The 12,239-nt window shown below is 41.7% G+C and overlaps 1 protein-coding gene across 15 annotated transcripts in view, besides 1 other annotated feature; it reads right to left on the bottom strand.

The window, feature by feature from the left end:
• Positions 1–11,004, bottom strand: part of DEUP1 (deuterosome assembly protein 1) — a 108,473-nt gene extending 97,469 nt beyond the window's left edge. For 11 of the 15 annotated variants that reach the window (XR_007062456.1, XR_947798.3, XR_007062457.1 and 8 more), the window contains exons 1-2: positions 10,230–10,260; positions 8,714–8,786 (exon numbers count right to left, since the gene is read on the bottom strand). Coding sequence is in view for 12 of the 15 variants with exons in the window: in XM_011542633.3 (XP_011540935.1) it covers positions 8,714–8,742 (29 nt within the window). In the remaining 3 variants the exon portion in view is untranslated. Of the gene's footprint in view, positions 1–8,713; positions 8,787–10,229; positions 10,261–10,760 lie in introns of those variants that run through there. The other 4 variants (XM_011542631.3, XM_047426455.1, XM_011542630.2 and 1 more) reach the window with 2 other exon arrangements.
• Positions 10,120–10,621: an enhancer, noted in NCBI's record as "H3K4me1 hESC enhancer chr11:93063547-93064048 (GRCh37/hg19 assembly coordinates)". NCBI's record gives its function as "activates a minimal SCP1, AML or CMV promoter by ChIP-STARR-seq in naive H9 embryonic stem cells {active_cell/tissue: H9 hESC(naive)}" and the evidence as "EXISTENCE:reporter gene assay evidence [ECO:0000049][PMID:30033119]".
• Positions 11,005–12,239: the final 1,235 nt, after the last annotated feature.

The raw sequence follows: 12,239 nt of genomic DNA, 5'->3' as shown, positions 1-12,239 counted from the left end.
TTCTTGGAAGGCAGATATGATGTTGTAGATGGTTCAGCTATCTTGAAACAATAAGGTGACCACAAACAGCTATATACAGGTGTACATACAGGCAGCTTCACTTGGACATACGACAAACGTCTTCACTTGGATATATAACAGGCATCTCAAACCAAGCTTGCATTTTCTCCAGTCTTCCTTATTTAATAAATGACAATTCTGTCCCTTCCAGCTGTTAGGCCAAAAGTCTTTGGACCATCCTTTGTTCATCATCTTCTCACACACTCCATATCCAATCCAGGATCTATAACATTGTCAGCTATTTCATGAAAACAAACCCATTTGTCACTATGTCTACATCTATCAATCTGATCTACTGTCATCTCCCACAGCTTAGCTTGTCTGCCTTTTCAACCCTTACCCTCCTATGGTCTATTCTTCCCATAGCAACTAGAGCGAGCCTTTTAAAATATTAAGTCAGAAAATGTCACTCCCTTGCTCAGAGTCCTCCAGTGACTTCCCATTTTACACAGTGAAATCTGAAGCCTTGACTAAGGTCTGTGAGGCCCTTCAGGACTTGGCCCTATTTGCCTTTCTGAGGTCATCTCCTACCACTTTCCCCCTTGCTTCCTCCTCTCTAACTGGCCTCTTTTCTGTTCCTTGAAAACGTCAATCATGTTCCTGTTGCAGAAGCTTTGCTTTTGCTGATTCCTCTGCCTGGAATGCCATTCCCCCAGATATCCAGATGTCTACATCTCTCACTTTTTTTAGGTCTTTCTTCAAATGTCACCTAACCAGATTTACTCTGTAACTCTCTATTCTCATAATCTGCTTACTTTTTCTACATAGTGATTATTACCACCCCCAACATAATATAGATTTATTTATTTGCTATAATCTGTTTCCCTCCACTAGACTGTAAGCTCCAATGAGGTCTCTGATACCATCGCAGAGCCATAGTATCAGCTCTAAATTTCCCACCTCCAGAAAAATAGGAACCCTAATTTGCTTGGGTATTATATTACGAGCTTCTGGTTTTTATTTGAATTTTGTGTTTTAGCAGACCCCTTCTGACAATACTCCAGCAGGGGAATAGAATGCCACCTCATTACTGCCAGACAGTGGTGGAAGTTCAGGTTCTCGACTCAGCCTCTGTTGCCACTTGGAGGGAGGAACTCCTCATTACTGCTGGGTGGGGGTGACAGTTCAGGCCCCTAGTAGCTCTGCACTGATACCACCTTGGCTGGGACGGGTAGGGATGCCTCATTACTCTTTCCTACGTGGCCTCCTCCGACACTGTGTAAGGTGGGTTCCCTCGTTATCATTACCACTCAAAGTGTCTTGCGTTCCTTTGCTATGGTAAGTCTCCCTTGGGGTTGTTGGTGATTTGAGGCAAGATTTGGATATTCCTGAGTCCCTGGGCCATTGCACCAATTATGCCTCATATGCCACCTGTTTCTAATATAAATGGATAGCCTCTATGGGTAATTTGACTAGCTGTCCTTTATAAGCCAGCTCTTTTGTTGATTCATCTTTTTATTTTCCTATTCTTGAACCATTTTAAGTAGTGTATAACTTGAAGATTTATAAGATTAGCATAAAGTATTTGCATTTTCCCCTTTCTCCTTTTTAGAGAAAATTTGGAAACCATTTCATTGCATGGATTGTATAGTGCACCTAGCTGTGTGCTGCTCATCTTGTACTCTAGCATTTGTACAGATTATAGGTATAGTTACTCCACGGCACTATGGGTTGGCCAGTGGATTTCCCCATAAATGGCTATGCCATATATGTTTGTGCTTTAATATGGCAACATGTGAAACATATTTCTGTCATTCTATAACACTTTCTATTATAAGAAGCAACAATAACTTAATAATTGCTTTTAGAGGAAACAGGGAATAATAGCCAAATGTATCTTCTGATTTCAAGACACAACCTAACTTAAATAACATTTAAGGGTGAAAACTGTGAGTCTTAGTATGTTACCCTTGGAGAGTCCATGAAAGCACATGGGTATGTTTTGTCCCTGGCTGAAGCCATTCCTATGTAACCATTCCCCATACATTCTCCAATTAAAAAGGCAAGTCCTCAATACCCCAAGTGTATCTATGAAAATAGTCCTGGATTCTCTTCATTTTTTCACACCCTGCTTTTATACAACCTCATTTCTATCTAATTCTGAACTCTTGATTCAACTCTTCTCTAGTCTTTTGAAATTGGTATTTATATTTTATTTCCCTGTTGTTTGACAGTTTATTGCCTTTAATAAGCTGTCATTCTTTCAGTTCACTCATTCATTCAACAAATGTTGACTGAGCTGGGAGCAGTGGTTCATGCCTGTAATTCTAGCACTTTGGGAGGCCAAAGTGGGAGGATTGCTTGAGTCCAGGAGTTCAAAACCAACCTAGGCAACATAGTGAGACCCTACCACTACAAAAAACAAAACAAAAAGATTGCCAGTCTTGGTGGTGTGTACCTCCCAGCTACTCAGGAGGCTGAGGTGGAGGATTGCTTGAGCCCAGGAGGCTGACATTGCAGGAAGCCAAGATCACACCACTGTACTCCAGCCTGGGTGACAGAGCAAGACCCTGCCTCAGGAAAAAAAAAAAAAAAAAGTTGACTGCATAATTACCCTATGTCAGGCACTGTGCTTGTCCCTGTGGTGTGACAGAAGAGAAGACAAAACATTGCTGAACAGAGCTAGGGCCCCTGGAATACGCTGGCCTATAGTGTTATAGGACCAACTTCTTAACGTTCTTATTACCACTGATACTTGTGTTGCTACTTCTCTTGCCAGCTTTTCTATTTTTGTCTCTATTTCTCCTTTTCCTTCTGCTTCTTGAGTTCAAGGAGGGTACAACTTTTATACTAACTGCTGTCCAATGAGACTGCTTCTTTCTTTTGGGGAGAGAACAAACGCACTCATCACATATCTGTAATATTCATGTTTTTAGCACTTCTCTGTTTCACCAGTGCTCTGATTAGAGGCTCACAAAGTCCCAGGTGGTTCCAAGGTGCCATACAACTAAGCACCATAGACAACCAGGTCAGGTTAGGTGGGATGCACCTGATGTACATATCTACATTCACACATATCAGATTTTTAAGAAAATGTATGTTGTAACTAATCTTTTGTAAAGATTTTCCTGTGAAACGTATGTGCAAATTTATCCTACACAGTGGTACTTTTTCATCTTTCCTTAAACTTACTAGCAGTTTGATTAGGTCTCTTGTAGAAATCTTCCCTTTCTTTCCTTATTTCCTTCCTCCCTCTCTCTCCTTCCTAATAACTTTCCTTCCTTTCAAAAACATGCATTTAATTCCTACAGTCACTCAGCACTGCTAACATTTCAGAGTCTACCGTCAAGTTTGACATGTCAGGATTTTAACCCAGATGTACTTTACTTTGTTTCTTCTTCAGAGATACAAGAAACTGGAAGAACTTGTCCAGTTTGATTACTCTGGGGAGGAATATACGTGTATATGGGGGGAGGTGAATAAAGTATGAAGAGAGGGAGAGTAAGGGGGTACAGTCTGGGCTAACCAGAAAGCAAGGGAATTAACCAAATTTAAAAAGAATTTTCAATGTGCAAAAATAATATATAATTTATTCAGGTACCAATATGTTGACTTACATCAGAAAAATTAGATTTTATTTTATAAACTGTAATTAAAACTGTGTTTAACTCATCAAGAACCTGGTAAGTAAAGTTATGATTCATAAAGTCAAGAACCTGGTAAGTAAAGTAAAGATGATTAATATATCTCAGAGGGAAAGAATACTTTAAGGGTTAAGAAAGATGCACACAAAAAGAGTATAGTTTTAAAGGACCTTTTGAATCAGATGCAAGAAGTTATGATTTAATATTCATCTACCTTGGTTCTTTGAAAATAATGACTTTCACAGCAGATAAGAAGAATCTGGTGGATCACGTAGCAGTACCTAGATGTTTAGGAAGCATTTGACAAGATTCTATGAATGAGATCAATGGCTAAGATAAAAGTCACAGAATAAAAGGTACAGTAAAAGATTCAGTAGAGAAAAATGAGAATTTGGTTGAAGATGTATGCACACACATTTTGTTCCCTCCCCAAATCCTACTAACACAAAGTAAAGGGATATTTTTAACCTAGAAGGTCAAACCTAGAAGGATAAAAATAACAGGAACTAGCAGTGGACAAAGCCAAGTAGCAAACCAACTAGATACATCTGGAAGTAGCAAGTGAGTGTCAGCCTGAAAACAGGAGGAATGGCTAAGAAGGGGTTGACTCCTAGATCTCCTCACTGGCATTCGAATCCAGGCATATTCTCTGGAGAAGCTAAAACAGAAAGGCTCTGGACTGGGGTTGGGGAACACCAGGTACAGTAGATGGCAGGACCACTGTACTGGAAACTGGGGGGGTTAAGGTCAACAATGTAAGTCTGAATTCAGCCCCCTCATCCTTTTCAGCTCCCAGAATGCTGGTATACTCTCCAGGTAGGAAATTAGAATTCTCTGGAATCTGATTAGCCTGAGACAAAAGACTGAAAGAGAGTGACCTGGGGTCCTGCAAGGAAACTGCCTAGTCTGATGACTATGGAGTAAAGACCACTGTCAATAAGCCCGCTGATATGGTTGGCTCTGTGTCCCTAACCAAATCTCATGTCGAATTGTAATTCCCAGTGTTGGAGGAGGGGCCTGGTGAGAGGTGACTGAATCATGAGGGCGAACTTCCCCCTTGTTGTTCTTGTGATAGTGAGTTCTCAGGAGATGCAACTCCCCCCTTCTCTCTCTCTCCCTCCTGCTCTGGCCACATAAAACATGCCTCCTTCCTCTTCGCCTTCTGCCATGATTGTAAGTTTCCTGAGGTCTCCCCAGCTATGCTTCCTATTTGTTTTTTGGGTTTTGTTTTTTGTTTTTGTTTTGAGATGGAGTTTTGTTCTTGTTGCCCAGGCTGGAGTGGAATGGCACAATCTCGGCTCACTGCAACTTCCGCCTCCCGGGTTCAAATGATTCTCCTGCCTCAGCCTCCTGAGTAGCTGGTATTACAGGCATGCACCACCACACCAGGCTAATTTTTATTTTTAGTAGAGACGGGGTTTCTCCATGTTCGTCAGGCTGGTCTTGAACTCCCAACCTCAGGTGATCCACCTGCCTTGGCTTCCCAAAGTGCTGGGATTACAGGCGTCAGCCACTGCACCTGGCCTCTATTTGTTAATCTAACCATATGCTATTTATATGTGGAGAAAAACTTGATATGACCTAAAAAAGGTTGAAAACAAGGTGATGAACAAAGATATTATTGATTAAAGTAAACTAAAAAGAAAGCAGGGATGGTAATATTAATATCAGGCAAAGTAGAATTAAAACAGAAAACATTAGTTTATACTTGTGCTATATTTTATAATGTTAATCATATAATATGCTGAGAAGATATACGCATAAACCTTGACACATCAAGCAACAGAACACTGAAATATGTAAACCAAAAATTGTTAGTAATACAAGAAGGACTAGACAAACTACAATTATAGTGAAGATCTTCCTTAGAATTTGACAGATCAAATAAACAAAAATTAATGTAACTGTACTTGAAAAACACAAGTTAAACATAATAACAACAATTAAAATGTTTGATTATATAACTTTTTTAGCCTTTTTACTCAACCAAAAGAGAACATACATGTGTTTTCAAATACCCAAAGGACATTAATAAAAGTTGATCCTGCAATAGACTACAAGAATAATCTTAGTGAAATTGACAGAGTCAAAATCATATAGTCCATATCCTATGACTATGACAGTAGAAAGATTAAAAAGTAATAATAAAAAGATAACTAAATGCCCCTTGAAATTACATTTTGTAAATATCTCTTGAGTCAAAGAAGATATCAAATTTGAAATGATAGATTATTTAGAAAATGATGGTGAGAACACTAACCCTATGGCAGGCAGCAAAGCTGTGCTCAGGAGGAAACTTACATGCTTTTATTATTTAAAGAAATCATGAAATCCAGAAATCATGAAAATAACTGAAGCACATTTTTCAACCCATGGGAACAAGATAGAATAAACCATAAAAGGGAAAACTAGTAAGTAGAAATTCATGAATAAGAAAACAAAAACAAAGCAAAACCTAGAGAAGGTTTTCTTAAAAAGGCCAATAAAAGGGATCACTTATTCTATAATTATGTTCTGGAAACACACTTTAAAAACAAAAAGAACAAACATAAAATTGAGTTTCAATTACAAGGAGTTTAGATTATTATGGCACAAATACAAACACCTATAATTGGAAGAAATCATGGATAAATTAACATCAAACCCGGTTATAACCATGATATCAGAGAATATTGATTCACTCACACTGAAAATGTTCTGTGGGAAAGCTCCCACCATAGGCCTTGGCACTTTCTGCTCCTGCTCTGTGTAATCTTTTCCCCAGATATAATCTCTGCTCGAATGCTGCCTTACCAAAGTATCTTTATTTGACCACTCCATTCACACTCTCTATTTTTCCCACCCTTAGCCTGCTTTATTTTTCTTCATATCACCATATGATACAAATTTATACGTTTATTATCTGTCTCTTCCACTATGGTATAAGCCCCTTGAGAAGAAGTTGTCTATTTTGTTCACTGCTACCTTCCTGGTGCCTAGACCAGTAAGTAGCTCACAGTAGACTCTAAATAGGTATCTGTTAAATGTAGGCTGCTCCACAAAACATTACTGTATATGTAGATGACATGGTTTAATAAGCTACATAACAAGTCCCTGATGATGAAGTTTTATTGTATTCATGATCTAGATTTATACATAACTCTCAATAGCATGTGGGACTGAGGCAATGCCAACCTGGGGTCTCCATGCTTTGGAGACCGTGGTAGGCAGTGTGTGGACCCATGTCTACTGTGATGAGTGGAACAGTACCTCAGGAAAACCTCTAAAAACTCTCATTAACTTGGGGGGTTGTAATTACACCATACCCAAACAAGTTCTACTGTTCCTTACTAAATTCTAAGTTCTTTAAAGACAAGGTCTGTTTCTTAAATGACTCCATGGCCTTGGATTTGTAGGAGTGAAGTGATATCTGGGACCCAACCTTAGGTTCAACATCTTCAATCTGCATCTTAGCTCTTAGTGCTATCATCACACCAGGGACCCAACACATACTTAACCCAGAATCCTAACCTGGCTCTGCTATGGATACCAGGCAGGCTGCTCCCTGCATCTCATTGCCATCCATTTCCAATGTAGGAAGGAACACAGGGATTGGAGCCAGGCATACCTGAATTCAAATCCTACTTTCTCTACTAACCTGGTGTATATTCTAGGATGAGCTCCTGCTTTTTTTGTCTTTCTACCTTTCTGAGCCTCAATGTGGTAGAGGATGCTAGTTTTTCAGCAATATCCATTCTTCCTCCTTTGTTCTAGAACTTCTAAGCTTCATCTGGTCATATGGCTACCTAGTTACAGACCATATTCCCCAGCCTTTCTTGCTGCTAGTTGTAACTCTGGGATAAAGTTCTGGCCAATGGAAAGTGAACAGAAGCGAGACCTGCCATTTCCATGTTATACTCCTAAAAGAAAAGGTCTTACTCTCTCTTCTTGCCTTTCTCCTTCCCTATGGAAGGAGCACAGTCATGATGGCAGAGCACACTTATGATGGTGGGAGCTGAAACAACCACTTTGGTCCTAGAGATAGAAATCATTAATGAAGATGGCAGAGTTGCCAAACCAATCCTGGTCCGTGTATCTTGGGTGAGCGCAGCACCTGTGACGACTATATGAAACAGACATAATCTTCAATCTTATTTAAGCTGCTGTTTTTGGAGTCTCTTTGTTATAAGAGCTTAGACTGTACTCGAATATATTTACTTTTCTTAGTTGTAAAATGAGAATAATACCTAGCAGGGCTGTTGTAAGAAGGAGTATGCAGTGGGAGCTAAAAAGTGATAGCTATGATTATTATCCAAACTTGTGCAGCTTTCTTTCAGCCTGACATCAAAGTTATGGTCTGGGCAGAATTTCTGAAAGTGAGACACCTGAAGTGGTGTGACTAGCGCCAAAGTCAGTTGCAATCAAGATTAGGCACTATACAACCACCCCTTCACCCCTTCATTCCCCAAACTCTGTGTTCAGCCAGTGGTCAGTTGGCTAGTGAAACAATAGGAAGAGAAAACTCTGTGATGCAGGTAGCAGGTAAAGAGTTAGGACAGATATTTGTAAACAGGAATTTGATTTTCTACAATGACAAATGCTATACAAATTTTATTCTTATCTCTTCGTGAAACTTTTGGTAAGATATCTAGTTCTTGATGATGTTTTTACGGAGTTGCATCTATTCTCAGGCTATGTTTAAGTGTTGAGTTCAGCCTTAAGGGGCAAGAGTAGAGGGAAACTTGAGATACTCAATGCGGCAAAAAAGGAGCAAGCTGGCGAAGAAAGGTTGCATTGTGGTAACAGAAGAGCACACGAGGCCTGCCTCCGCATCCACCACCCTTAGATATTGGACAGTCACTAAAAGTTGGAAAACAGTGATTTTTGAGTGCAGATCTGTAGTGTCAAAATCAGAAAGTCTCGCATTATAATCCTTAATTACAGTCACTTCATATTTCCTCTCATCCGCCTCACCAAAAATAATTGGCATATCCTTCTATTAATAGTAAATTTCAAAATTCATGTGTTCTCAGGAAGTTTTTGGCACAGTTAAGCACATACTTATTAAACAGAAATTTCTCAGCACTTACCCCATCGTATTATGGGCTTGGTTCTCCATGTCAAGAAACTGCTACATCTGGTTTATATTTCTTGATTTTTAATCTGTTAGGAGGAAAATGATACAAGTTCCTAAAATGTTTATATTCTTTAACCTATAAAACATGAAAATTTTGCTACTGGCAAAAACCATTTAGTATGAGTTTTTCTGTGTAGTAGCTCTTGATCCTACAAAATATAGAAACCTGAGTTTTCTGTTTTGGTTTTTTGTTTGTTTTTTGAGACGGAGTCTAGCTCTGTGGCCCAGGCTGGAGTGCAGAGGCACGATCTCAGCTCACTGCAACCTCTGCCTCCCAGGTTCTAGCGATTCTCCCACCTCAGCCTCCTGAGTAGCTGGGACAGGCAATCGCCACCATGCCCGGCTAATTTTTGTATTTTTAGTAGGGACGGGGTTTCGCATGTTGATCAGGCTGGTCTCGAACTCCTGACCTCGTGATCCACCCACCTCGGCCTCCCAAACTTGAGTTTTTTGTTTAGCGACCCCTATGCATTTACGATATTGACTTAGTGATTTATTGAAATATGTGGTACGGACTAAAATGAGCATCCATTTACTACTTATTGAATAATAGCTTGTACTACGTTGTTCGCAAACGGCTCAGTACATGAGAATGAGTAAAACAGAATTCCCATTAAAAGAGAAATTCTAGCCAGATGTTCTCAAACTTTCTATTCTTGTGGTTCCCCTAAAGGTGTGCCTTTATTTGAGTACATTCTTTCTTTGGCCCTATCTGGGTTTTGTTAGGATGACTATAACTATGAGATTTAGGACAAAAAGGCTAAGAATGCCTTTAAAAAGAAATCTTGAAATTCTTCAATGGCTCTATGGGCACTGGCTCACCTCTTGACAAAATAGGGATGTTAGCATTTGCCTAAAGTAAAAAAAAAAAAAAAGTTTTTCTCAGTAACACAATTTTAGTTAAAAAATAATCTATGACGATAACTGGAGAAAGTATTGAAAAGGACTTCAACTCCTCCGAATCACTGAATAAAAGTCAATTAAAGAACATTCAAGGAGGTAGAAAGAGGAGGAAGATTCGAGCTCACATCACTTCCAAATCGAAGAGTTTTAAGAGAGACCCTGGAATTAAGAGAGACAGAGCGGAGAGGAGCAGGGATGGTGAAGGAAAACTTGACCAGAAGGAGCAGACCAATAAATGGTTTTGTAGATTCTCAAATATCTCACTTAAACGTCAGGGAAACTGAGGCACAGACAAGTTAAGTGGCTTGCCCAAGGCCACACAACTGAAGCCCAGTCCTTCTAACTTAGGGCGCAGCTCTGCTCTGGATTTGCAAGCGCGGGCCTCCCCTCCCAGCCTCTGTCCCCGCGCCACGCGCCCCTCCAGGACCCGCGCTCGGTTCAAGCCCAGCCTCCCGCAGAGCGGCCGCCCTTTTGGGGTTCCCCTGTCCCGCTCGAGGACCCGCGCAGCCTGGCCTTTGGGTGAGGGTCAGGGGCGAGGCGGGGCCGGGAAGGCCAGGAGCCATTACCTGCGCTGCGCCGCGCTCGCCCGAGAGGTCTGAGGCGAGGGCGCAGGACCGCGTATGTCACCTCCCGCCCCGCCAGGCCCGCCCCAAGGGGCCCCGCCACCCGCCGCCGCGCTCCCGCCGCCTGGGCCCTCCCGCCGCGCGACCAACGAGGCAGTTGGGCCTCTCCCTCCCCGCGCGCGGCGCCGCCGCGTGTTGCCATGGGGACGTCGCGGCCCGAACTCGTGGCCGTCGGAGTGGGGGATGGGCGCGGCGGCGGCGGCAGGCGCTGCCCTGTGCGGCTCCTCGGCTGCCTCCAACCTCACCCCGCGCGAGCGCGACCTCGCTGTCCCGCAGTTATACGTCCAGTGCCCCCTCTATTCTGGGTCCTTTCCTCTTTGTAGTCCCACTGCCTACCCCAAGGCTGGGCACCCAAGCTGCAGCCCGGAAATACTTGTTGAATGAATGAACCAAATAGATCACGAAGGAACTGTAAACCGCTGGGGAGTTCATCATCCAGGTTCCTTAAATCCCCTTGGCCCTCTTTCCTCTTACCCAAATTTGAAGTGGCATGAAAAAGAAATAAACTTCGGGTAAAGAGAACTGCTTTTATCTCCGTTCACCCTAGCGTCTTCCAGCTGGGAGGAGCTGGATTTCACCGCTCAGCCCCTGGTTCCTGTGGTGATAACAGCATCAGCTTGTACCTGACTTTCCCGTCAAGCGCGATGGGTCCTTAAAACACTGCCAGTCAGGCGAACGGACAGTGTTGCCTCCCTTCAGGGAGAAGAGAATAGCTTCTAAGAGGAGAAGCTGGAACGAAACTCAACGGGACTGATTCCAGATTCTTTCCTTTTTCCACCAAATTCCAAGAGTCATTGATGACAGATTTTCTGTCTCCATTTCATAGAGGAAATAATAGGAAAGAATATATGTTTTCCAACTGACATCTTGAGTGATTTGTTTTAAGCACTTGAATTTTGTATTTGATTTATTTTAACCAAATAATTCCTTCCTAACACATGGAGTCGACTACTTAATTCTTAAAGTCTTTTATTTGCACTTTACTTTCATCACTTTAACGCTAATTTGCTACTTTAATATTCTATGAATTTAATGCGCACCCACATCCCTCCGTCCAGGTCCCATCTGAATTTTATAAAACCATTATGCTGTTTCTTGACAAATTGAGCTTCATAGATGAATTGTATACGGTCACCTGGGATATCAGTTCTAACAGGTGTTTCATAGCTCTCATGTTTGCATGAAGAGAGTGACTGTGTTATCTTAACTTGAAACTTTTCATTATTCTGAAAACGCGTATATTCTTTATTCTTATCTGAATTGAATGGGTCAATGTATTTTTTCTAACCCAAGGAAGGGAAAATGGAACTAGGAACGAAATTTAATGAAATCTCAGGATGCCCAAGATCACTAAGGCTATGTAACATTGCTAAGTGCTTCCATGTTCATTATTTCTTTAGAGGCTCAGAAATACACTCAGCAAGTGTATCAGGTGTTATTAATAGCTTCTTTCAGAAGATTAGGAAACCCAGGCTTAGAGAGAATGAAGGATATGTCCATGGATTTGTCCATGGATTTGCACTTGAAATGGATGATACATCAAGATGTAAACCTAGATCATCTTACTCCAAATCCAGTGTTCTCCAAACATTAAGGTTGAGTCGGTTTCTTTAGCAGTCAGGATCTTCCTTAGCAAACTGTAGGTTTAATGTTTTCCTTTTTTTTTTTTTTTTTGAGACGGAGTCTCGCTCTGTTGCCCAGGCTGGAGTGCAGTGGTGCCATCTCGGCTCACTGCAAGCTCCGCCTCCTGGGTTCACGCCATTCTTCTGCCTCAGCCTCCCGAGTAGCTGGGACTACAGGCACCCGCCACCACGCCCGGCTAATTTTTTGTATTTTTAGAAGAGACGGGGTTTCACCGTGTTAGCCAGGATGGTCTCGAACTCCTGACCTCGTGATCCACCCGGCTCGGCCTCCCAAAGTGCTGGGATTACAGGAGTCAGCCACCGCGCCCGG

The sequence above is a fragment of the Homo sapiens genome, chromosome 11, assembly GCF_000001405.40.
Source record: "Homo sapiens chromosome 11, GRCh38.p14 Primary Assembly".
Taxonomy (NCBI): domain Eukaryota; kingdom Metazoa; phylum Chordata; class Mammalia; order Primates; family Hominidae; genus Homo; species Homo sapiens.
This window is presented reverse-complemented; position numbering and strand designations above follow the sequence as displayed.